This window comes from Homo sapiens, chromosome 19, assembly GCF_000001405.40.
Source record: "Homo sapiens chromosome 19, GRCh38.p14 Primary Assembly".
NCBI classification, from domain to species: domain Eukaryota; kingdom Metazoa; phylum Chordata; class Mammalia; order Primates; family Hominidae; genus Homo; species Homo sapiens.
In genome coordinates, this window is record NC_000019.10 from 20,106,732 (window position 1) to 20,134,375 (window position 27,644).

The window sequence follows — 27,644 nt, forward strand, 5'->3', positions numbered from 1 at the left end:
CGTGAGCCACTGCGCCCGGCCCAGGTTTTCATAAATTGGTTTTAGAAGGTAAAGATCTTTTGTTGGGCCCTTAGTGTGATGAGATGCCCTCTGAATTGATAGTGAAGAGGGGTTGTAGCTTGGTCACAAGGCTGCTGGGTCTGCACTAGGGTCCACCTTTAGTTGGCTTGTTACAGGGGCTTGGGTTGTTGTAATTCTCATTTTATTTTTGGACAGGCTGAATATCCTTCAGGACTTTGCTCTGTAGGGCAGACACTAGGGCATGTTTTTGCAGTCGGGTCTGCATATGGTGGGCCTTGTATCAGGATGTGGATGAGTATGGCTCTGACTGAGTACCAGACAGCATTTCCTCAGGTAACTGTGTGGGTTTCTATGTGGGCAGAATTGGCCATGATCTGTGGCTCAGGTAACTGACACTGAGTCATTGAACCGCTTCAGGGACCCCAGTAAAGGCCAATGTCTTCATGCCTGCCTGTATAGCTATAATTGGGTGCCTTTCTCCAGGTCTCTGGAGTGGCAGAACCTCAGCCAGACTGTGGCTGGGAGGAGTTTGGGATGGTTACAGAGTAAGTTCTGAATTCTCAGCGGGACCAAGTTGGGTAAATAAACCCGATCCTGGTCTGTAGCCAAGAACAGCGGCCCTTTAGTTTCCCACCTAAATGAGGGCCTGCCTTCTGACTAGAAGGCTTCTCAATCTTTAGCTTTAACAGCATTTCACAACTCCCTCCCTGGATCTCAAATCTCTCTTAGAGGCCCTTATTTTGGAATGGCATCTTGCTGCATAATGCATGCAGGTCTCAAAATCCTGGCCTGAAGCAGTTCTGTAACCTTAATGTTCCATGTAGCTGTCATTACAGGTGTGAACCATAATACCTTTTTCTCTCATAAAGGCATTTTTGTCAGGGATGGCTGACTTTTTTTTGCTGTAAGGGGATATGAAAATAGGACAATTTAACTCTTTCCTTCTTACTGATGTCACTCTCCATATACATTTTTACTTTCTATTTTCTATTTCAAATTTGTCTGCAATTTTAGTTTCAGATATTTAGGACAATATGCCAGAATTTGATGGTATACTTGAAGTGAATTACATAATTATTGGGCACCCAATATTTAACTAAATATGATAAATAACTAAAATAGTTACTTATAAATCGAAGCTTTGCTGCAGGCAAAAAGGAATTATAGGATTTTCATCTACTTTTTTCAGCCTATATCTAAATAATATAGATTATTTCCTAATATTTGTTTTACATATCAGAGGGTCTAACCCTATTCTGGAAAAAAAATATATATTTTTTCTATATTTAACAATGTAAGTCTACTCTTTTCTTCTAAAGTTGGATTACAGCAGTTGCGTTTTGTGTAAGAATACCATATATTTAAAACATTTGTTTTTTAACAAATCTAGTTTTAAATGCTAATTTATTAAAAGTTTCTCATTAGAATCTTCTATTTATAATTATGCTGCATATTCTCTGAAATTTTACTGCCACAGAGTGCATGCCAATGATTCAAAATACCTGTATATGATGAATACATAGTGATGGTTAAATATTGCAGTTACTTAGACAAATTGTTAAAAAAAATTTTTTGGAGAAGTAGTTACTCTCTCTCACCCAGGTTGGAGTGCAGTGGTGCAATCCTGGCTCACTGCAACCTTCACCTCCTGGGTTCAAGCAATTCTTGTGCCTCAGCCTCCCAAATAGCTGTTATTACAGGCACTTGCCACCACTCCCGGCTAATTTTTGTATTTTTAGTAGAGATGAGGATGGGGTTTCACCACGTTGGCCAGGCTGGTCTTAAAACTCCTTACCTCATGTGATCCACTGGCCTTGGCCTCCCAAAGTTGCTGAGATTACAGGCATGAGCCACCGTGCCTGGCCTGACTACTTTTTTTAAATGATACATTAATGTAGCATACCAGATTTTATGAGTAAACATTCTTTTATTATTGTTTGTAGTTCTATATTAGTGTGTTTCTTCAGTGTAGGTTTCTCTTTTTTTTTTTTTTTTTTGAGATGGAGTCTCATTCTGTCATCCAGGTTAAAGTGCAGTGGCACAATCTCAGCACAATCTCTGCCTTCTGAGTTCATGCCATTCTTCTGCATCAGCTTCCCGAGTAGCTGGGACTACAGGCGTGCCACCACAACTGGCTAATTTTTGTATTGTTATTAGCAACGGTGTTTCACCATATTGGCCAGGCTGGTCTCGAGCTCCTGACCTCGTGATCTGCCCACCTCAGCCTCCCAAAGTGCTGGGATTACAGTCTTGAGCCACCGTGCCCGGCTTCAGTGTAGGTTTCTTAACATCAGTTTATTGTGTCTATTGGTTTTACTTATGTAGTAAGTAGAGAATTTGCAATTCTTTTTGTATGCTTTAAGTCAATTTGAGGTTTAGCTAAGAGATAAATTATGCATCTCTATCACAGTCAGATTACATATGTATGTGTGTTTATCTATAAATATTTAGACAATTTGCAATTCTGTTTGTACACTTTAAGTCCATTTGAGGTTTAAGAGATAAATTGTGCATGTCTATCACAATCAGATTACATAAGTATGTGTGTTTGTCTGTAAATATGACCCCAATTTTAGATATTTTTTCTTAGCTGAATTTCAATGGGAGTTTTATCTTGTCTAAGTGAGTAGTCATGGAGATAGTCTTACTTTCACCATGTGTTTAATAATTAATATATATTTTTCCTTTTGTGAGAGAAACACTTTTGTGATCTGAAGGTAATTTTCAGAAAGATGTATAATTCTGGATTTTTTTTCAATTTTTCTTTAAAAGCATTGTTTTAAAAACACATAACATAAAATTTACCATCTTAAATTTATTAAAGTGTACATCACAGGGTCAGGCATGGTTGTGGCTCTCGTCTGTAATCCCAGGACTTCGGGAGGCCAAGACAGGAGGATTCCTGTAGCCCAAAGGTTTGAGACCAGCCTGGGCAACATATGGAGACCCATTTCTGTAAAAAAAAAAAAATTAATAATAGCCAGGCATGGTGGTGTGCAGCTGTGGTCCCAGCTACATGGGAGATTGAAGGGGAGTCAAAATTGTGCCTCTACACTCCAGCTTGGGTGACAGAGTGAGACTCTGTCTCCAAAAAAAAAAGCTGTTTATTTCAGGCATGTTGTTATGCAAAAGACTTCTAGAAACTTTACATCTTGCAAAACTAAAACTTAGTACCCATTAAGAAACAACTGCTCATTTTACCCTCTCTCCAGCCCTTGACAGACAAACCTTCCACTTTCTGATTTTATGATTTTGACTACTTATTTCATATAAGTGAAATCATACAGTATCCATAATTTTGTTACTGTATTAATTCAAGTGACACAATATTCTCAATGTTCATCTTAAAATGTGACAAGATTGTTCTTTTTAAGGTGGAATAATATTCCATTGTATGTATATGTTACTTTTTTTGATGTTTATAAATCGGGAGACATCTGGATTGCTTTGGGCTTTTGGCTTTTGTGAATACATATACAATAAACATGGATTTTCAAATATGTTTTCCAGGTCCTGTGTTGTTTTGCTTTGTTTTATTTTTTTTGAGATGGAGTCTTGCTCTGTTGCCCAGGCTGGAGTGCAGTGGTGTGATCTTGGCTCACTGCAACCCCTGCCTCCTGGGTTCAAGCAATTCTCCTGCTTCAGCCTCCCTAGTAACTGGGATTACAGGCACCCACTACCATGCCTAGCTGATTTTTTGTATTTTTGGTAGAGACGGGGCCAGGCTGGTCTCAGACTCCTGACGTCAGGTGATCTGCCCCCTCAGCCTCCCAAGTTGCTAGATTTACAGGCTTGAACCACTGCACCTGGACTTTGTTACATATTTTGGATATAGATTTCTAAATGAGGAACATTTATAACTTTTTAAAATAATGGCTGTATCTTTGTTTTCCACCAACGTTTAACATGGGTTTCATTTTTATTGCATCATCAAGAGATTCGATGTTTTCTAAAAAATTTATAGTGGCCATTCTAATGGGTGTGAGGTGATTTTGTTTGTCATTGTGGGTTTTTCTTTTTCAGTTCTCTATAAATAGTTTTTTGTGCCCTTTCAAATGCTTTTTCTCATTTGTGTACTTTTCTAATGAAAACTTGTTTATCTATTTCTAAATTAAGTTATTCACCTTTATTGTTTAGTTTTAAGGGTTGTTTATATATTTTGAATATTAACTTCTTTCACATGTAATTTGCAAATGTTTTCACCCATTTTCTAAAGGACGTTGTTACTCTTGAATTGTTTTTTAATATGCAGAAATTTTGATGTCTAGTGTAGTTAAACTTTTCTGTTATTTCATTTATTGCTCATGCATTTAATTTCTTATCTAAGAAAATGGTGCCATGACCAATGTGATGTCTTTTTCCTATATTTTTTTGAAAGGATTTGTTAGTTATTTTATTTCTCAGTATTTTATTTAAATACTGAGATCTCTGTGCCTCAGCCTCCCAAAGTGCTGGGATTACAGGCATGAGCCACTGTGCCTGGCCTCCTTTATTTTTGAGATAGGGTCTCACTCTGTCAACCAGGCTAACTTGCAAGGCTCAGTGCTACCCAAACCTCCCAAATTCAGGTGATGATCTCATTTCAGCCTTTCAAGTAGCTGGGTTACAAGTAGGTGCCATCAAACCCTGCTAGCTTTTCTGTATTTTTTGTAGAGACAGAGTTTTGCCATGTTGCCCAGGCTGGCCTTGAACTCCTGGGATCAAGTGATCAGCCTATCTTAGCCTTCCACAGTACTAAGATTACATTTTATTTTATTAAGTAGTTTAATTAATTCATACTTAAAATGATTGCTTAAAGAAAAATTACCAGTTATATAATTATTGTGTTATGTGTTTCTAATAGTTATGTTCTCATTTCCTATTTTATTTTCTTAATTTTCATTTAATTTTGTACTGGTATGCTTTATTTTTTATTTGCTTTTGTATACTTTCTATAAATTTTATCTTTGTAATCATCTTGAAATGTGGAGATTACATACATCTTAAAGTTAAAACTATATTTTAATCTTATAAGAACTTCAATTGAATACAAAAACTATGCCTCTATATTTTCAGCTTATAATTGATATTAAAATTATTTTATATGCTGTATTTATTAACAGATTTATGCAGATTTTTTTTTTTGGGATGGAGTCTCACTCTATTGCCCAGGCTGGAGTACAGTGGCATGATCTCAGCTCACTGCAACATCTGCCTCCCAGGTTCAAGTGATTCTCCTTCCTCAGCCTCCTGTGTAGCTGGGATTACAGGCATGCACCACCATGCCCGCCTAATTTTTGTATTTTTAGTAGAGAGAGCGTTTCACAATGTTGGCCAGGCTGGTCGCAAGCTTCTGACCTTGTGATTCACCCGCCTCATCCTCCCAAAGTGCTGGGATTACAGGCATGAGCCGATGTGCCCAGTCGATTTATTCAGATTCACATATTGTTTTTTATATTCTATAAAAAAGAACTTTAAAGGTTTCATGTATAATAATTTTGATTTTTTTTTTTTTTTTGAGACTGAGTCTTACTCTTGCCCAGGATGAAGAGCAGTGAAGGGCAGTGGGCACTATTGCACCTGGCCTTTTTATTATTATTATTTTTTTGAGATGGAGTCTTTCTCTGGCACCCAGGCTGGAGTGGCATGGCATGATTTTGGCAAACTGCAGCCTCTGCCTCCTGGGTTCAAGCAATTCTCTTGCCTCAGCGTCCTGACTAGCTGGGACTACAGGTGTGTGCCACCACACCTGGGTAATTTTTGCATTTTTAGTAGAGACGGGGTTTCACCATGTTGTTTAGGCTGGTCTCAGACTCTTGATCTCAGGCAATCCACCCACCTCGGCCTCCCAAAGTGTTGGGATTACAGGCATGAGCCAGCATGCACAACCTCTTGTAGTACATCTTGTAGGACTGCGCAAATGCTGATGAACCCTCTTAACTTTTATTTTGGAAAGTCTTTATCTTCTTTTTGAAGTAAAATAATTTAAAATCGAGTATTGCTGGTTAGAAATGTTTTTTTGTTACATCAAAATTTGGGAAGTTCTCAACTTTTTTGTTTTTTTTAATCTTCAAGTACTTCTGTATTTCTTTTTCCCTATATTCTAAGATTTCTTTTATGAATACATTGATCTACTTGACGGTATCCAATAAGTTTTGTGTTCCATGTTTTACTGCTTTTTTTGCAATTTAATATTTTTGTGTTATATATTTTTGGGTATGTCACATCACAGCAATTAATTGTGGTTTGATTTTTTTGTTTATAATTGTATATGACAATATTTAACTCTGTACCACTTAAGACAGTGTGGAGCAAAATTAAATATGAATAAGCCATATGTCTATTACCAATATAATTATTTCTGTTTCTTTTCCTGTATAAATATTATCCCTGTAGTTTTGTGTCACTTGTGTGTTTGTTGTGTAGGTTTGTTGTAACGGTTTTTTATTTTTTTTTCTTTTTTTTTTCTCCTTTGAGAGGGAGTTTCACTCATGTTACCCAGGCTGGAGTACAATGGCAGGATCTCAGCTCACTATACAACCTCTGCCTCCTGGGTTCAAGCCCTTCTCCTGCCTCAGCCTTCCAAGTAGCTGGGATTACATTCGTGCACTACAACGCCCGCCTAATTTCATTCATACTTTAGTAGAGACAGGGTTTCACTATGTTGGTCAGGCTGGTCTTGAACTCCTGACCTCAGGTGATCTGCCCACCTTGGCCTCCCAAAGTGCTGGGATACAGGCGTAAGCCACCGCACGCAGCTTGTAACAGTGTTTTTAATCCTGTCTAGGTGAGTAGTCATAAAAACTCTCCTAATCTTGCCGTGTGCGGTGGCTCACGATTGTAATCCCAGCACTTTGGGAGGCCAAGACGGGCGGATCATGAGGTCAGGAAATTGAGACCATCCTGGCTAACACGGTGAAACCCGTCTGTACTAAAAATACAAAAAATTCGCCGGGCGTGTTGGCGGGCGCTTATAGTCCCAGCTACTAGGGAGGCTGAGGCAGGAGAATGGAGTGAACCCGGGAGGCAGAGCTTGCAGTGAGCGGAGATCGCGCCACTGCACTCCAGCCTGAGGGACAGAGTGAGACCTGGTCTCAAAAACACTCCTAATTTCAACATCAATTTCCTTGTGAATCTATCTTATTTTTGTGTGTCAGAAACACTTTTGGATTTGAAGATAATTTCAAAACAATACTAACTCTGTATTTTTTTAAGGTATTATTGTTTACTTATGTGTTATGTGTCAAAAAATAATAAAATTTATAATAAAATATTTCTAGGCCGGGCGGGGTGGCTTACGCCTGTAATCGCATCACTTTCAGAGGCTGAGGCGGGCAGATCACAAGGTCAGAAGATCGTGACCATCCTGGCCACCATGGGGAAACATGGTCTCTACTATAATACAAAAAATTAGCCAAGTGTGTTGGCATGCACCTGTAATGCCAGCTACTGAGGAGGCTGAGACAGGGGAATTGGTTAAACCCGGGAAGTGGAGGTTGCAGTGAACCGATATTGTGCCACTGCAGTTTAGCCTGGGAGACAGAATGAGAAGTATATATTTCTAAATATTCAGTTTGTTCATATTAATTATATTGACATTGTTATGCAACATATCACTAGAATGTTTTTATCTTGCAAAGCTAAATCTCTATACACATTAAACAACTACCAATTCTTCCCATTTCGTGGCACTCTTCAAACACCACATTGTTTTCTGTTTCAAAGAGCATAACTGATTTATATATCTTATACAATATCTGTCTGTTTGTGGCTGGCTCATTTTGCATAATGTCATCAATATTTATCTTAATAATTGTTAGAATATGTGTTGTATCATTTCTATATATTTGTACATTTATTAATTATTTGTATTATTATTTTATACTCTAATTCCGTTTTTGTCATAGAAAGTAATCTATTTTCAGCTTTAAAAAATGTGTTATGACTTTGTTTTTGGCCTAACAGGTGGTCCATAAAGAAGAAAGTTGTATGAGCTATTGAGAAGGCTGTGTATCCTGATGTTGTTGAGGAGTGTTCTCTATACCTTCATTAGAAATAATTGTTTTTTACTGCCTTCTAGTCCCCTGTTCCCTTACTAATATTCTGTCTTGTTTTATTATTATAACAGAAAATGCATTACTGAAATAGCCTATTATAATTATATTTCTCTCTATGTGTTTATTCCGTTTTCTTACTATTTGCTTTATATATTTGAAACCCTAATTTGAGACACACACGCACACAAATACACACATGGATAAACAAATTTGTCATAGGTCCCCAGCGAATGAATCTACATATTGTTTAACATCTTTTTGAAGTTTTGACTTAAATTACATTTTATAAAATATGACAGTTTTTGACTTAAGATGTAGCTTGTGTAATACTATTGTGACCTCTTCTGCTCTCATTTGGTTAATATTTACATGACATTTCTACTTCCATCTTGCCACTTTCAGTCTTTTTTTGTTATTAGATCTCAACTGACTCTTGTAGAAAGGCAAGTTAAATCTTGATTTCACAAAATTTTTAATAAACTTTTTTATTGAAAGAATGTCTCTTGATTGGAAAGATAATTATACATATAAAATTTTAAATAGTTTTCTGAAAGAGAAAAGCTTACTAATGTTATTTTATTTTTTGTTTTATTTGATTCTTGTATCTTTGTCTCTCATTTTCCTTTCTGTTTTTTTTTTTTGTATTAATATGCTTTCAGGTTTTTAAAAATTTTCTTTTGTGTATCTTTACAGATATTTTCTTAGTGGTACCATGGGGGATTCTATAAAAACTCTAAAAGATCCAACAATATATTTGAATGTGGTAAAAAAATAACTTAAGTTATATGCAAAAATTCTTCATCATTACATCTGCTGCTCCGAAAATGCTCTTATATGTGAATTTTGAAATTTTACTTATATATGTGTTTGTTATAAGTATCTTTATGTGTATCCTAGTTTGTTTGTTCAGCTTTTTTATGTTTACATCATTTTTCTTTTGATAAATTTTTCAGTTACTTTTTGTAATTTTTATATCCAAAATTTTTATTTTTTGCTATTTTAATATTTCTTGTTATCCTCATTTTCCTGATCTTCAGTAGTTGTCTGTGTTTCCATTTCACTTACTGTATATTATTATGTTTTATTTATTTCTGTATTTATTTTATCTGAGATGGAGTCATTTTCTGTCAAGCTGGAAGCAGTGGTGCAATCTCGGCTGACTGCAACCTCTGCCTCCTAGGTTCAAGCGATTCTCCTGCTTCAGTCTCCTGAGTAGCTGGGTACAGGTGCTTTCCACTATGACTGGCTAAGTTTTTGTATTTTTAGTACAGACAGGGTTTCACCATGTTGGCTATGCTGACCTTGAACTCCTGACCTCAAATGATTCACACACCTCAGGCTCCTAAATTGCTGGTATTACAGGCGTGAACCACTGTGCCCAGCATATTTTATTTTATTTTTGAGACAGTCTTGCTCTGTTGCCCAGGCTGCAGTGCAGTGGTACAATCTCCACTCACTGCAACCATCCCCTCCCAGGTTCAAGCAATTCTTGTGTGTCAGCCTCCCAAGCAGCTTGGATTACAGGCTTATGCCACCATGCCCAGTTAATTTTTGAGTTTTTAGTAGATACAGGGTTTCACCATGTTCTCTAGGCTGGTCTCATACTCCTGACCTCATGTGATTTTCCCACCTTAACCTCTCTGTGTTGAAATTACAGGAATGACCACCAACCCTGGCCTGTTCAATTTATTTGGAATTTTAAAAATTACTTTATATGCTTTTTATAGTTGCTTTTGAAATGTTTTTCATTGGGCCATGTTTCTCTAATATTTTGTGTACATTGCAATCTTTGATTGAGATTTGGACATTGACAAAAAGCTACCTGTTACAATCTTTTTATAATATAGCTTTGTCCTGGCATAGTCTGAAATCAATAGTCTTGGCTAGAGATTCTGGGAATTTCTCAAACATGTTCTTAGGATGTGTCTTGTCTAAATTTTGTGTTTATTGTTTAGTTAAATGGCTTATTTTTTTTAATAATCAGTAATCACTTGCTGCAGCCATTCCCTGTTTGGGGTACTGCAGTTTCTCTGCTTCTCTAACATTTATCTTTAGACTCAGTAGACTCAAACTGTCATTCCAATGTATATCACCACTTCTTTAAGCGTTTTATGTCATGGGAGACATTAACCAGTGTCTAAGAAGCACATAGAAGCCAGAAATAAAGATGTATGTGCCAATGTTTTTCTTTAAAAAAAAAAAAAAAAGAATTGGCAACTTACATTTGTGTGTGTGTGTGTGTGTGTGTGTGTGTGTGTGAGAGAGAGAGAGAGAGACAGAATGTCATTCTGTTCCCTATGCTGAAGTGCACTGGCATGATCTTGGCCCACCACATTCTCTACCTCCACAGTTCAAGCAATTCTCCTGCCTAAGCCTCCCAAGTAGCTAGGATTACAGGTACCTGTTACCATGCCTGGCTAATATTTTGTATTTTTAGTACAGATGGGGTTTCATGATGTTGGTCAGGCTGGTCTCAACCTCCTGACTTCAGGTGATCCACCTGCCTTGGTCTCCCAAAGTGCTGGGATTAAAGGCATGAGCCTGGGTGGAAATTTCTTTTTCTTTGTTTCGTTTCTTTTCTTTTTTTTCCTTTCTTTTCTTTTCTTTTCTCCTTCCTTCCTTCCTTCCTTCCTTTCTTCCTTCCCTCCTTCCCTCCCTCCCTCCCTCCTTCCTTCTTCTGGCTCTGCTGCCCAGGGTGGAGTGCAGTGGTGTGATCTTGGGTCACCGCAATCTCCGCCTCCCAGGCTCAAGCAATTCTCTGCCTCAGCTTCCCAAGTAGCTGGGATTTGCCCACCACCATGCCTGGTTAATTTTGTTTGTAAATGTAACCTGTATTTATCAGAATCTAGCAATTGAAGTAATGTGTTCTTATTGTTTCTTTCAGTTATGTGTTTTCATTTTGCCCAAGATGAGGTTAATTTTGTTTGTAAATGTAACCTGTATTTATCAGAATCTAGCAATTGAAGTAATGTGTTCTTATTGTTTCTTTCAGTTATGTGTTTTCATTTTGCCCAAGACCTTTGTCCAGAGCAGAGCCTAAAAGATTCCTTCCAAAAAGTGATAGTGACAAGATATGAAAAACGTGAATATGGCAATTTAGAGTTAAAAAAAGGTTGTGAAAGTGTGGATGAGGGTAAAGTACACAAAAGAGGTTATAATGGACTTAACCAATGTTTGACAGCTACCCAGAGCAAAGTATTTCAATGTGATACATATGTGAAAGTCTCTCATATATTTTCAAATTCAAACAGACATAAGATAAGAGATACTGGAAAAAAACCTTTCAAATGTATAGAATGTGGCAAAGCTTTCAACCAGTCCTCAACCCTTGCTACACATAAGAAAATTCATACTGGAGAGATAACCTGCAAATGTGAAGAATGTGGCAAAGCCTTCAACAGGTCCTCACACCTTACTTCACATAAGAGAATTCATACTGGAGAGAAACGGTACAAATGTGAAGATTGTGGCAAAGAATTAAAGTATTCCTCTACCCTTACTGCACATAAGAGAATTCATACTGGAGAGAAACGGTACAAATGTGAAGATTGTGGCAAAGAATTAAAGTATTCCTCTACCCTTACTGCACATAAGAGAATTCATACTGGAGAGAAACCCTACAAGTGTGATAAATGTGGCAGAGCATTTATTTCATCCTCGATCCTTTATGTACATAAGATAAGTCATACTGAAGAGAAACCCTACAAATGTGAAGAATGTGGCAAAGCCTTCAAGCTCTCCTCAATCCTTAGTACACATAAGAGAATCCATACTGGAGAGAAACCCTACAAATGTGAAGAATGTGGCAAAGCCTTCAGGCGCTCCTTAGTCCTTCGTACACATAAGAGAATTCATACTGGAGAGAAACCCTACAAGTGTGATAAATGTGGCAAAGCATTTATTTCATCCTCACTCCTTTATAAACATAAGATAAGTCATAGTGAAAAGAAACCCTACAAATGTGAAGAATGTGGCAAAGCCTTCAAGCGCTCCTCAACACTTACTATACATAAGATAAGTCATACTGAAGAGAAACCCTACAAATGTCAAGAATGTGACAAAGTCTTCAAACGCTCCTCAGCCCTTAGCACACATAAGATAATTCATAGTGGAGAGAAACCCTACAAATGTGAAGAATGTGGCAAAGCCTTCAAGCGCTCCTCAAACCTTACTACACATAAGATAAGTCATACTGAAGAGAAACTCTACAAATGTCAAGAATGTGACAAAGCCTTCAAGTACTCCTCAGCCCTTAGCACACATAAGATAATTCACAGTGGAGAGAATCCCTACAAATGTGAAGAATGTGGCAAAGCCTTCAAGCGCTCCTCAGTCCTTAGTAAACATAAGATAATTCATACTGGAGCGAAACCCTACAAATGTGAAGAATGTGGCAAAGCCTTTAAGCGCTCCTCACAGCTTACTAGTCATAAGATAAGTCATACTGGAGAGAAACCCTACAAATGTGAAGAATGTGGCAAAGCTTTTAACTTGTCCTCAGACCTTAATACACATAAGAGGATTCATATTGGACAGAAAGCCTACATAGTGAAGAACATGGCAAATCTTTGAAATATTCCTCAACCCTTAATAAACATAAGATAATTCATACTGGAGAGAAACCGTATAAATGTGATGACTGTTGGAAAGCCTTTGACCACCCCTCTACTCTTACTAAATATGAGAATTTATATGAAACATAACTCCTACAAAAATAAAGAATGTGACAAATCATTTTAAGGAAGTTCTCAACCCTTACTACACATAATTCATACTGGACGGAAACTCTACAGGTGTGAAAAATGCAGCAAAGCCTATAACAAGTTCTCAATTCTTTTTTTTTTTTTTTAAGAAGGAGTTTCATGCTTCTCACCCAGCCTGGAGTGCAATGGCACGATCTCTGCTCACTGCAACCTCTTCCTCCTGGTTCAAGCCATTAACCTGCTTCAGCCTCCACCACCATGCCCAACTAATTTTTGTATTTTTGGTAGAGACAGGGTTTTGCCATATTTAACAGGCTGGTCTCCAACTGTGATTCACACACCTTGGCCTCCTAAAATGCTGGGATTACAGTCATGAGCATCCATGCCCAGCCACAAGTTCTCAGTTCTTAAGAGACATGGTGATAATTCATGCTGAAGAGGAACTTTACAAACTTGAAAGATGTGACAGTGCTTTTACCACCACCTCCAACTTTTCTGTACATAAAGATGATTATACTAGTGTGAAACCCTAGAAATAATAGAAAATTTGACAAATCCTTTATATGGTTGCAAGACTTGATTGTAGGTAAGATAATTCATACTGGCAAAACTCCTACAAGTGTGAAGAATGTGGGAAAACTTTTTAATCAGTGCATACACCTTATTTCACAGGAAAGCTAGTATCCTTGAGAAAAATTGCACAATTATAAAAAATATGGAAAACCCATTAATGCCTACTCACATCTTACCCAACAGAAGGTGGTTCACAGTTAATGAAAGCATTTAAAGTGCAATTATGCTCAAGAAATCTTTCAGAAAATAGAAGCCTTTAAAGTGAAGAAGAGTATTCTGAAGACAACCATTACACATATAAAGGGGGTTGTATTACCTTTACTTGCATCACAGATTTCATTGCACACATTTTGTACTAGAGGAAAACCCTGAAGCAGTTGCTCCAGCTTTGTTCAACAACAGGGAATTTATGTTAGAGAAGAATCCTGCAAATGTAGTGAATTTGGAAACAAATTTTTTTTCAAAAACTACAGCTTAGAAAACACCAGAGAGTTGATACTAAAATATATGTTTGCAGAAACAGTAAATATAAAAAATATTTAATTCAAAATGAATTCCATGTAAATATCAGAGAATTTACAGTAGAATAAGGCACTGATACTTCAGACATTACACTAAAACAGTGTTGAGTATAAAAAAGAATCCACAACAAAAATTGTTAGATAAATTATATATAGCTTTAAAAGGTTTTTTGAAGCATTGTAATTACATTGAAAGTATACTTGCTTTCTTGAGAAAAAATTTTTGAAAAGTGAATAAGGTAATAGAGCTTTCAAATTTATGCTGTTACTTTATTTCTATTCACATGTGAAAGCATGTGATCAATTGATGCTGCATCAGAGATATTACAGATTCTTTATTGGGCATTCCTTATAACCTTTTCTATTAAAGAGAAAGGATATTAAAATGTAAGATGCATGATGAAAATATAAGTGGACAGGCTGTTCGTATTTGACCTATATTAAGTAATGTATAAGGTAGTGTTCAGAGTAATACTTTTCTACATTATAGTGAGAGAAATTATGAATTACAGTTAAAGGTATATTAAATTACTGTATTATTTTACTAATTTTATGTAATAAAATACACTACATTAAAAAATTGTTAGATTGTGTGTGAAGTTAATTTTGTTGTATCCATTTATTTTTTTTTTTGAGATGGAGTCCACTTTCTCATCCAGGCTGGAGTGCAGCAGCGCAATCTCTGTGTGATCATTGCAACCTTCACCTCCCAAGTTCAAGCGATTCTCCTGCCTCAGTCTCCCAAGTAGCAAGGACTACAGGTGTGTGCCACCATGCCCGGCTAATTGTTTCACCATATCAGTCGGGCTAGTTTCGACCTCTTGAGCTCAAGTGATCCACCTGCCCCGGCTTCCCAAAGTGCTGAGATTGGCCTAGTTTTATTTTATTTTTTACCATATTAAGACTATTTTGCATTTAATGAAGCCATATTATGCCACTAACTTTAACCTATCCCACCTTACTCAAGGGTATAGTTACAAGATGGTAGCAGTATACTATTTGGTATATAGTAGAATAACATCATTAGTAATCACTTTGCCAGTGGCTTTAAATTAATTGAGTTGAAGAATATTTTTCCCATAGGTTAAATTTTTATTCTTACAGAAATTTATTCTTAGTATTTGTGGGTATATAGTATGTGTTTACGTTTATGCTTTATATGGCATACTGTGATTCAGGACTACAATATGTAGTAATTACATTAGGGTAAATAAGGTATCCATCACGTCTAGCATTTATCCTTTGTATTACAGTGTAATTATACACTTTTAGTTATTTGAAAATGTACAATTAAATTTTAATTGACTACAGGGTTATTTTTATGGTCGTAATAAAAATTATACAGAAATATAAAAAGAATATGGCCAGATGAAGTGGCTCATGCCTGTAATCCCAACCATTTGGGAGGCTGAGGCAGCTGGATTGCCTGACGTCAAGATTTCAAGACCAGCCTGGCCAACATGGGGAACCCCTGTCTCTAAAAATATAAAAATTAGCCAGGCATAGGAGCACCTGCGTGGAGGCTGAAGCAGGAGAATAGCTTGAACAAGGGAGGTGGAGTTTACAGTGATCCGAGATTGCACCACTGCATTCCAGCCTAGGCAACATTTCTGAGTCCTGAAAAATTATTAATAAATATTTGTTACATAGTTTTCTATAAACTTGTGGTTTCTCTGCCTGCAAACACAAGAGTTTTAGTTTTAATTTTCATAGAGTGAAATATCCACATATTACTCTGAAGGTAAACCTTAGGTGTAAGAAAAATATAAAGTGAGTAAGTGTATTTGTGAGTTTGCTTTGGTACATATTTTCAGAAGAAAAGCACAATTATTGAAACAAAACAACTTATTTTAATTTGGTGAATAACAGAAAACACCTTCAAAATGTTGAAAGCAAATCTACACTTTCTGCTTTGTATTGAATTTATTAATGTAAAATTTTATAGCTTATGTTTCAAATTCTTTCCAGAATCTGCCTATTGAAGCACAGGCAATTTTGTCTCCATAAATAACACTCTTGAGTACAACAATAAAAGCCCTCTTCAAACAAACAAATTATTTATAACACTTATTTTAATGAAAATGTAACCAAAAGTATATAATTGGGTATATTTTTGTTGTTCTATGTGTGTGCGAATGTATAAATTGGTACATAAGGACAAAATAATTTAAGCCAGAAAAAAAGATGTTAGCTAATATTTGTAATGAATAAAACTGGAAAGTAGTTAATTATTATTTGCACATAATGTCTTTGTTTACGTAGATAACAAAACAGCAGAAAGACTATTTTAAAATTTTATTCAAGTGGGTAGGTAACATTCTAAGATAATACGCTGGATTCCCAGTCTGTTGCACACCTGCTGTGTAATACTTTTTCCTTGAGTGTAAAAAAATGTGCAACTGGTGGGAAAATCACTCAAGAAATTAGGTTACTCATGTGTTGACTTTGTGTTTATCAAAATGGAGATTGTCCTGACTGTGCTAAACTTAATCAGAGGTGCTTTTAAGAGAAAGACACATCATAGAAAAACACCCCTGCTTGCCTGAAAGTAAGTGACTTCTAGGTGGGCCATGTTGCAAGCTGCTTATGGTGACCACATGGCAGAAAACATATTTGTACATTGTTATCATTCCTGCCCTTCTGCATGTTGCTTCCAGTAGGGAGAATCTAAGGATCCTATGACAGGGAAAAAAAGGAAATCTCATTCATGCAAGAAATAATCACCTCTCACCTGGGATAGCTTAAGAGAAGCAGGAGACCACAACAGAACCACATAAATGGGAGGAAAATGGTAACCTGGGTAAAAGTGCTCTCTGGCATTATGGAACAACATTTAGTAAGCTGTAGTGAATGGTCAGCCTCTGGGATACCAATAGTTTACCAACAAGGCTGAACTCATTCTAATTCAATCAGCATGTCTGCATTTACACTATCCATTACAGAAATACCATGAAGACCAGTGGGTAATGTCCTAGAATTGAACTTATTTCAAATCATACCTAATTGTTTTTCACATTTGAAAAACCTTAAAAACAATGAATTCATAAATAATTAACTTCTAATTATAGAGGATTCTACTATACTGTAATACAAGATTAAAGTGTAAACACCTTAAGATTTCTTGAATGCATGATTGGTTATGTAGTTTATTTTAAATAATTAACGTGATAAAAGTAACAAATAGATAAAACATTGGAAACGGACAAAATTAATAAAAACCACATCTTTTCAATGGCTTGGCGTAATTGCTATGCTTTTGGAAATGGCCAGATTACTAACAAGAAACAAAAACAAGATTTTGGCTTTGCTCAGTCATTGTTTTTGACCTTCTGAAATCTAAAATCCAGGCCAAAGTGTTGAATGGGAGTATTTTATAGGTGGCTTCCTTGGGTTTCCAATGCAATGAAGGGAAAACTTTGATAGGCAGGAAAATGCACACTATATACACACATTGCTCTTCTCTGATTTGCTTTAACATTGAAAAATTGAAGATTGTAAATGTAGTCTCAATTAGAGTAAATTAACAAAAGATTTGTTTTTCAAAAAGCAAATGTATAAAATTAATGGGTAACAGATGCCATTAGCTGCTAAAAAATAGTATGACTAAATTCAGTAAGTATCTAGCCATGCAAATAACAGCCCAATTAAATGAAGACCCTCATAGGTGCATGTGGAAAGCATTGCTGTGCAGTGTGGTGCCTCCACTCAGCATTTTCTTCTACCTCTTCACAGAGAAACCAGTTTCCCCTGAGTGACTAAGGATGCATACTGGGAGCTGAGAATGCTGTGTTCAGAGTGATTACTGAAAACATGGTTAACACACTTCTTCCATATGATAATAAAATGATATAAATCTTTCTCTGCCTCGGAAAAGCTTTTAGTAAAAGATTATTCAATTTAGGTTCATGAAAAATGTTAAATTCCAGATAATTTAGACACTTAAATGTCAATGAAATCCCATAAAACATATTTGAACAGTGTTTGACACGAGTCGCACCGAAACAAATGCTCTTCACGATCATTGTTAAAGTAGCAATAGCGCCACGTGCTTTCCTGGGAACTGCTGGCCTGTTTTCCACTCATACAAAGTGGAGAAGGCTTTGAAATAGCAAAGGAGGGTGACATAAATTGAATACTTATATGAAATTTTTAATTAAAAATAGCATTTGATGTTATACAACTATAAGTGAGACTATTAGTGTGATGTCATATTCTTAATTATATTGACAAAATAACCATTCACAGTATTCCTATTTAAAATAACATGTTTTGTCGGCTGTATATTTGCTAGCTTTTGGTTAAATAGTACCAGAGCTCAATAGCAATCAACAAAATGAATCTTTATTTTACCGCAAGCATTAGTGATGCATATGCCTGTTTTTCTTAAAGTTCATTAGCTTTTTGCCTTTTCCGGTTGCAGCGCCGCGCGGTGAGGTTCTCTAGTCCACGCTCGCAGCCATGCCGTCCAAGGGCCCGCTGCAATCGGTGCAAGTCTTCGGACGCAAGAAGACAGCCACAGCTGTGGCGCACTGCAGACGCGGCAATGGTCTCATCAAGGTGAACGGGCAGCCCCTGGAGATGACTGAGCCGCGCATGCTACAATACGAGCTGCTGGAGCCAGTTCTGCTTCTTGGCAAGGAGCGATTTGCTGGTGTGGACATCCGTGTCCGTGTGAAGGGTGGTGCTCATGTGGCCCAGATTTATGCTATCCGTCAGTCCACCTCCAAAGCCCTGGTGGCCTATTACCAGAAATATGTGGATGAGGCTTCCAAGAAGGAGATCAAAGACATCCTCATCCAGTATGACCGGACCCTGCTGGTAGCTGATCCCCGTCGCTGCAAGTCCAAAAAGTTTGGAGGTCCTGGTGCCCGTGCTTGCTACCAGAAATCCTACCGATAAGCCCATCATGACTATCAAAATTCACCTGTATAATAAACAGTTTTTGAGGGATTTTAAAGTTTCCAGGAAAAAAAAAGTTCATTAGCTTTTTATGAAGGATTTATCCTTTTTTTTCAGTGTGCTGTTTATTGCTGAGAAGTGGCTGCCCTGCCAGAAAACTGCTATTCTCAGCTGTAACCACATTGACTAATAGTGAGTGGAAGTGCAGTGGATAAAAAGCAAATGTGTCTTCTCTGTATCTTTTTTCATTTATTGGCTGAAGAACAGGAGGATGCGGAAGATGGAAGAAAATATAATCTCTGAAAGATAATGAAGAAGCTCTCCTAAATAGAAGAAAACCTCATAGGGGATTTTTTTTTCATCATTTTACTCTCTGCTTCTATGCGTTTAAATTTTTTTTTTTTTTTTTTGAGACAGTCTCGCTCTGTTGACCAGGCCAGAGTGCAGCGGCATGATCCCGACTAACTGCTCCCTCCACCTCCTGGGTTCAAGCGATTCTGCCTCAGCCTTCTGAGTAGCTGGGATTACAGGTGTGTGCCACCACGCCTGACTAATTTTTGCATTTTTAGTTGTGGTGCGGTTTCCTCATGTTGGTGAGGCTGGTCTCGAGCTCCTGGCCTCGTGATTTGTTCACCTTGGCCTTCCAAAGTGCTGGGATTACGTGCATGAGCCCCTGCACCTGGTGAGTTTAATTTTTTTTTTTTTACACTTTACATAGAAATAGGATTATGTGGACTGGGCACGGTGGTCTATAATCAGCACTTTCAGAGGCTGAGGTGGGTGGACCACTTGAGGTTAGGAGTTTGAGGCCAGCCTGGCCAACACGGCAAAACACTGTCTCTACTAAAAATATAAAAATTAGCCAGGAGTGGTGGTGTGCGCCTGTAATCCCAGGTATGGGGGAGGCTGAGGCAGGAAAATCGCTTGAAACCAGGAGGCAGATGTTGCAGTGAGCCGAGATGGTACCACTGAACCATCGCGTGCCTAGGCAAAACTCCATTTCAAAAACAAAACAAAAAAATTTTGTGTGTGTGTTTTCCTGTGCTGGCTTATTTTACTTAGCATAATATCGTTCAGGTTCATGAATGTTGTTGCAAATAACAAGACTCTTATTTTTAAGGACTGAATAGCATTGCATTGTGTACATACACCACATTTTCTTTTTCCATTTACCTATTGATGGACATCTAGGTTGATTCCATACCTTAGGTATTGTGAGTAATCTGCTTCTTTCCTTCTCTTTTGTTTTGTTTTTGTTTTGTTTCAGATGGAGTCTCATTCTGTCGCTCAAGCTGAAGGGCAGTGCCGTGATCTTGACCCACTGCAACCTCCGCCTCCAAGGTTCAAGCAATTCTAGTGCCTCAGCATTCCAAGTAGCTGAGATTACAGGTGTGCACCACCAAACCCGGCTAATTTTTGTATTTTTAGTAGAGGCAGGCTTTCACCATGTTGACCAGGCTGATTAGTTTGTATATTTCTTTCTTCCTTTCCTTTTTTATTTCTAGAAGCATGTTAATTTTAAAATATAAATTATGACATGTAAAAGCCTTCATTTCTCTGTCTTTGATTACTATTATGGCTGATGAAAAAATAAGCTTTTTTGAAATTTCCTGGATAAAAGTTATTACTTTATATTAACATAACTTGAGACAATGTAGAAATGAAAATGAACATTTGATAGTAAAACAGCAATTATCTAGCTCCTGGTAGTCATTTAGTCTCTCACCCGCTCTTTAGAACTTCCACCAAGACAAGAACTCTATTTTTTTTCCAAGAATGTGTGATGTAAAATCACACTCTTATCTTTTTGTTTTTGTGGCAGAAGTTGGGTATTTAAGGTTATGAAAAAAAAGTATAGGTCTCCTTTTAGTAGACAGGTGATGATGGAAGCAAATATAATAGTACATGGTATTTGGCCACATTTCAAATGGGTGATAGTGAACATTCACTGAAGTGTCATAGATGGCTCTTATTTGCCAGGTCAAATCTTCTTTGCGAGAAAGTCTCAGCCAACTGTTGTCAAGCATTTCTGGTGGTTCCTAGATACATGAACAAAACCTCACTAGACTGGTTTACTGAGAGCAGAATTAAAAACACCCGGGTGCCAGGTTATTAAAAACATTTTTACATTTTTACATTTATGGAAAAAAAAATGTGATGTGGTGTGTGGCTTGGTTTGAATACATCTTCACTGAGCTAAGTAGCTGATTGAATTTACCTAACCTGAAGGAAAAAAAAAGAAAAAAGAAAAAACCTACACTGAAAAAACACACATGGAACTGCAAGACAGTGATTAAGAAAAATGTTTACTCATAAACTCTGGTACGCAACATCGATGTATCATTAAAAAAGTTTGTCAGTTTGGGCATGGTGTCTCACGTCTGCTATCTCATCACTTTGGGAGGCCAATGCAGGTGTATCACCTCAGGTCATGAGTTCAAGACCAGCCTGGCCAATGTGGTGAAACCCCTTCTCTAGTAAAAATACAAAAATTAGCTGGGCATGGTGGCACATGACTGTAATCCTAGCTACTTGGCAGGCTGAGGCATGAGAATTGCTTGAACCTGGGAAATGGAGGCAGCAATAAGCCAAGATCACACCACTGCACTCCAGCCTGGGTGACAGATCATGTCTCTGTCAAAAAAAAAAAAAAAAAAAAAAAAATATATATATATATATATATATATATATAGTCTAGGTAACTGTAATATGTAACTGTTACGGTGTACTCACCAACTGCAGATCTTTTGAATCATTGGCATGCACTGTGTGGCAGTAAAATTTCAGAGAATATGCAGTATATTTATACATAGAAGATTCTAATAAGAAACTTTCCATAAGGAAGCCTTTAAAAGAAACTTGAGTTACTTTTTATGTTTTAAATGTATGCTATTCTTACACAAAATGAAACTGCTGCAATCCAACTTTAGAAGCAAAGAATAGTCTTACATTGTTAAATATAGAAAATATATAACTATTTTAAGAATAGTGTTAGAACCTCTGATATGTAAAACAAATATTAGGAAAAAACTATGGTATTATTTGATATAGGCTGAAGTAAGTAGATGAAAATTCTATAATTCCTTTTTGCCTGCAGCAAATTTAAATTTATAAGTAATTATTTTAGTAAATATGGAGTGCCTACTAATTATCTAATTTATTTCAGGCATACCATGCAAATTCTAGCATATTGTCCTAACTGTATAAATCTAAAATTATAGACAAATTTGATATAGAAAATAGAAAGTAAAAATGTATAGGGAGAGTGACATCAGTAAGATGAAAAGACTAAAAGTGCTCATTTTCATCTCCCCTTACAGCAAAACAATGTCAGCCTTCCCTGGCATGCCTTTATTAGAGAACGAGACATTATGGCTCACACCTGTAATGACAGCTACATGGTACATTAAGGTTATGGAACTGCTTCAGGCCAGGATATGGAGACCAGCCTGGGTTATGTAGCAAGACGCCATCTCCAAAATAATGTCTCTAAGAGTTATTTGAGATCCAGGGTTGCAGTTGTGAAACACTGTTAAAGCTTAAGATTGAGAAGTGTTCTATTCAGAAGGCAGGTCCTCATTCATGTGGGAAACTACAGGACCGCTCTTCCTGGCTACAGACCAGGATCGGGTTCACCCAACTTGGTCCCAGTAAGAATTCAGAACTTACTCTGTAACCATCCCAAATTCCTCCCAGGTACAGTCTGGCAGAGGTCTTGCCATTCCAGACACTTGGGAGGAAGGTACTCGTTTACAGCCATGTAGACAGGCCTGCAGAACTTGGCCTTTACTGTGGTCCTTGAAGCAGTTTAATGACTCAGTTTCACTTACCTGAGCCACAGTTCATGGCCAGTTCTGCCTACATAGAAACCTACCCAATTACCTCAGGAAATGCTCTCTCATATACAGTGAAAGCCACACTCATCCACATCCTGATACAAGGCCCACCATATGCAGAGCTGACTGAAAAAACATGCCCTAGTGTCTGCCCTATGGAGCAAAGTCCTGAAGGATATGCAGTGTGCTCAAAAATAAACTGGGAATTACAACTACCCAAGCCCCTGTAACAAGCCAACTGAAGGTGGACCCTAGTGCAGACCCAGCAGCCTTGTGATAAAGCTGCAACCCCTCTTCACTACAAATTCAGAGGGCATCTCATCACTCTAAGGGCCCAACAAAAGAAGATCTTTACCTTATAAAATCAGTATATGAAACCCTGAAGAGGTGTTTGCTCCATCAAATTCAGACACCAATACAAAGCTATATTGTGCCTATTGCCAATGCTTCTATTTTAATGTAGCACTGGAAGTATGTGGCCGAAGAACTAGTCAAAGAAATAAAAAAATCCATTGAAATTGAAGAAAAATAATTAAGGTGCTGCTGTTTGTAGATCATACAATCTTATATTTAAAAAAAACCATAAACAGTACATTAAAACCTGTCTAAACTAATAAATACACTCAGTAAGTTAGCAAAATATAAAATTAACATACAAGTATATGTATGGTTTCACACACTTAAACTATCTAATAAAATAGAGGAAGAAAATAATCTTATTTATTTATTTATTTTGAGACAGTCTCAGTCTCTCTCCAGGCTGGAGTGCAATGGTGCGATCTCGGCTCACTGCCCCAATGTCAGTGAAATAAATGGTTAATTGGGAATAGAGGGGCTTGGGGAAAGCAATACTGGGAAGATATCTCAATCCTGGCACACACTACCATTATTACTGTTTTCCTTTTTTTTTTTTTGACACGGAGTCTAGCTCTGCCACCAGACTGGAGTGCAGTGGTGCAATCTAGGCTCACTGTAACCTCTGCCTCCCAGGTTCAAGTGATTCCCCTGCCTCATCCTCCCAAGTAGTTGAGACTACAGGCACATGCCACCATGCCCAGCTAATTTTTTGTATTTTTAGTAGAGACGGGATTTCACTGTGTTAGCCAGGATGGTCTCGATCTCCAGACCTCATGATTTGCCTGCCTCAGCCTCCCAAAGTGTTAGGATTACAGGCATGAGCCACTGCAAAAATTTTATTTTCTAAAGCATTAAATCATAAATTTCTGAGGAAAAAATTAACCAAGGAGGGAAAAAATCTTTACAATAAAGAAAAAATAAAAAAATTAGAGAAGATACAAATAAATTTTAAAATACTTTGTCTATGGATTGACATAATATTATTAAAGTACCACATTATCCAAAGTAATCTATAGATTCAATAAACTTCCTATCAAAATTGCAGTGATTTTTTTTCACAGTAATGGAAAATACAATTCTAAAATTTACATGAAACTAAAATAAACTTTGAATTGCCAAAGCAATCATGAAGAAAAAGAACAGAGCAGGAGGATATCATACTTAAAATTTCAAACTATATTTCAAGACTATATAGTAATAAAAACAGAATGTACTGTGCAGAGAAATGAATTAAAAAAATGCAACAGAAACTACTACTCTCACACATTTCAGACTTGATGCAAAAAGTGATCTAATGCATAATTTTCTTTTTTTTTTTTTTTTTTTTTTTTGAGACGGAGTCTCACTCTGTCACCCAGGCTGGAGTGCAGTGGCATAATCTCTGCTCACTGCAACATCTGCCTCCAGGGTTCAAGTGATTCTCATGCCTCAGCCTGCCTAGTAGCTGGGATTACAGGCACCCACCACCATGCCTGGCTGATTTTTGTATTTTTAGTAGAAACAAGGTTTCACCATATTGGCCAGGCTAGTCTCAAACTCCTGACCTCAGGTGATCCACCTGCCTCGGCCTCCCAAAAGTGCTGGGATTACAGGCGTGAGCCACCACGCCCAGTCTATGCAGTCTGTTATATGTCATGAAGATGAATTTGGCTCTCCCTGTGAAGCTGAAAGAAGCTCAGCGAAAGAAAAGTAGAATCCTTATTTAAAAGCATCAGACAGAAGATGCCCCTTTGTGAGAGCCAATTAAAAACAAAAAAATAAACAAACAAACAAAAGCAGCTTTCCACGAATGATTTCCTTTGGAACACAGCTTCCCAAATCACATTTAAGGACTGACTTTCTCTTTGACCTTGGGACCTCTTATCTGTGTTGTCTGTTGTATTCATTTTCTTCTTTTTTTTTTTTGTTTTTTTTGAGATGACTCTGTCACCCAAAATGGAGTGCAGTGGCATAATCTTGGCTCACTGCAACCTCTACCTTCTGGGTTCAAAGCGATTCTCCTGCATCAGCCTCCTGTGTAGCTGAGGTTACAGGCGCATGACACTATGCTTGGCTAATTATTGTATTTTTAGTAGAGACGTGGTTTCACTGTGTTGGTTAGGCTGGTTTCAAACTATTGACCTTGTAATTCACCTGCCTAGGCCTCCCAAATTGCTGGGATTACAAGTGTGAGCCACTGAACCCAGCCTGTTGTATTCATTTTCACTCTACCTATCTGGGGGTTTGGCAATCATCTCATGTCTCTTCATAGTCAAAGGTTTTTTTTCCTTGACAACAATACCTGTTTATTAAAAATAAATACCATGAATCTTGCTCATATTCTTCAATTAGAAGCTAGTAATGTGCTAAGCAGAGAGGATGTAATAAAATAGTCTAGTAAATTAATACCAAAATACTAATTCATAATAGAAATTTCTAAATATTTAGAAAATACTTTCACTTTTTAGGTTTCTTAATTTTACTACCTGGTACTACTGAATCAAAAATTGGTGGTGGCAATTAGATTTTCAGGTGGGGGCAACAATATTTCATGCCAGTAAATTTTGGAATTGCCACTAATTTAGAGTGAAGAATACACTCAACTGAGGAATGTGGAAAGTTTGGATTAAGATGAAACATCTTGAAGAAATTATCTTCTAAATGAAAGAATCCTGAAGATTTTCTGGAAAAGGGGCATCTGAAACACTTTTATGCAAAGAATAAAGTACCCAGAAACATTCCACAAAAAAGGGAAATAAAACTTTTAGGGTATATTATGAATTATGTATTAAAGTTATACTCACAAAGGAAGACCAAGTTTCTGTAGTTCTGAAACTTCACATCCCTATATAAATTCCGCTGTGCAGTGTCCAGGCAATGCCACTCCTCCAGAGAGAATTCTATGGCCACGTCTCTAAACTGCAATGGTCCCTGGAAAACACACACACACACATTTTTACCAAGTGGCCATAGGTGGAATTTTTAATTTGACTTAAGGTGAAATGAAAGATAAAAGACAAATGGTTCTGACTTATAAGACTCACTAAAATTATCCAATAAAATAATTTTCATCACAGAAATATTATTTAATGTATTCTCTAACTCTGAGAAAAAACAGCAGCATAAGATACACAACATCAGTTCATATGTGATATTTTTCTAGATAATAAAGTATAAAATTAAAGGCATAAACGTACATTTTTGAGTGCTATTTCATCATATGAAATGAGTTGTGAATATTTTTCAAAAGGAAAAGATGAGTTAGAAGGCACCTCAAATTTTAATATATACAATAAGCTGAAGACCTTCTCATGCAGGTTTTTTTAATATTTTTCCGCAGAAGAGCTGGAATAAAGTCTGATTTATTTATTTATTTTTAGTTTTTTGGAGATGGAGTTTCATGCTTGTTGCCCAGGCTGGAGTGCAATGGTGCAATCTTGGTTAACTGCAACCTCCACCTCCCAGATTCAAGCAATTGTCTTGCATCAACCTCCTGAGTAGCTGGGATTGCAGGAATGTGCCACCATGCCTGGCTAATTTTTTTTTTTTTTTTTTGTATTTTTAGTAGAGATGGGGTTTTTCCATGTTTGTCAGGCTGGTCTCAAACTCCTGACCTCAGGTGATCTGCCCACCTCGGCCTCCCAAAGTGCTGGGAATATAGGCATGGGCCACCACACCTGGCCAATTTTTTGAATTTCTAACAGGCTCATCAGTAATGCCAATGTTTTTGGCTCAAGAAGGATATGTTGTCAAACATCCAGGAAGTGGAAGTGTCGGTGTTTTTCCCACTTTTTCTAGCCTGTAAACAAAGATAAGAGTCTTCATTTTCCAAAGAAAAATATGTAGAAAAAAATAAGAAAAAAGGGCAGCTGCCAGATTGAATGTGATGGTTTATGCACGCCAGCGGCATAAACATACCTAATAATACAGCGAAAAATAATTATAGTGAAAAATCAGAAAGCTATTTCACCAATCGAATCATTAACTATTAACTGCACTAGGACAAATTTTTATTGTGTGCTAATGCACCCAGAAGAACACAGCATCACTCTTGAAATATTCCTCCCCAAAAAAGTAAATTATAGTCTGAATTTATGCAAACTTCAAAACACAGATAATGCCTATGTTCTGTAATTTTTAGTAGTAATTTTAAGTAGGCTTCATTTAACACCCTAGAGAGCAGGTATCTCCTAATAATTTTTTTCAGAACTTTCTGGGTAATAAATGCCATCCCATTTAAATAAGCATTTTTTTTTTTTTTTTGAGACAGAGTTTCGCTCTTGTCACCCAGGCTGGAGTGCAATGATGCAATCTCAGCTCACTGCAACCTCCACCTCCTGGGTTCAAGCGATTCTCCTGCCTCAGCCTCTCAAGTAGCTGGGATTACAGGCATGCGCCACAATGACCGGCTATGTTTTTGTTTTGTTTTGTTTTTTTGTATTTTTAGTAGAGATGGGGTTTCACCATGTTGGTCCGGCTGGTCTCGAACTCCTGACCTCAGGTGACCCACCTGCCTCAGCCTCCCAAAGTGCTAGGACTACAGGTGTGAGCCACTGCATCCAGCCTAAATAAGCATTTTCTTAATCCTGTTCTGCATAGAGCTAATTTAACACAGAGATGGACCCTAAACATTACATGTCCACCATCTTTACTAAGGACCACAGTTTTCCCCAATAGAAATCTTGAGTATCCACAAAGGGAACATTTTTAATGTTATGG

At 37.2% G+C, this 27,644-nt stretch overlaps 1 protein-coding gene, 2 long non-coding RNA genes and 1 pseudogene across 4 annotated transcripts in view; 3 read left to right on the plus strand and 1 right to left on the minus strand.

The window, feature by feature from the left end:
• The window catches only part of ZNF90 (zinc finger protein 90), a 43,169-nt gene extending 28,732 nt beyond the window's left edge, over nucleotides 1–14,437 (plus strand). Inside the window, exons 1-2 of one of the 2 annotated variants that reach the window (XM_047439360.1) lie at nucleotides 10,817–10,862; nucleotides 10,971–14,437. In XM_047439360.1, the coding sequence (XP_047295316.1) occupies nucleotides 11,052–12,629 (1,578 nt within the window). In that variant the 5' untranslated portion in view covers nucleotides 10,817–10,862; nucleotides 10,971–11,051 and the 3' untranslated portion in view covers nucleotides 12,630–14,437. Of the gene's footprint in view, nucleotides 1–10,816; nucleotides 10,863–10,970 lie in introns of those variants that run through there. The other variant, NM_007138.2, reaches the window with a different exon arrangement.
• A 2,534-nt stretch (nucleotides 14,438–16,971) lies between these two features.
• LOC105372310 (uncharacterized) overlaps nucleotides 16,972–27,644 on the minus strand; it is a 148,126-nt gene continuing 137,453 nt past the window's right edge. Inside the window, exons 6-7 of the long non-coding RNA XR_007067164.1 lie at nucleotides 25,730–25,856; nucleotides 16,972–19,052 (exon numbers count right to left, since the gene is read on the minus strand). This is a non-coding gene — a long non-coding RNA (uncharacterized LOC105372310). The remainder of the gene's footprint in view (nucleotides 19,053–25,729; nucleotides 25,857–27,644) is intronic.
• On the plus strand, nucleotides 18,259–18,819 carry RPS16P10 (ribosomal protein S16 pseudogene 10; annotated as a pseudogene).
• LOC124904662 (uncharacterized) lies at nucleotides 19,394–20,301 on the plus strand. The gene is made up of 2 exons (XR_007067165.1): nucleotides 19,394–19,435; nucleotides 20,021–20,301. It is a non-coding gene; the product is annotated as an uncharacterized LOC124904662 (long non-coding RNA).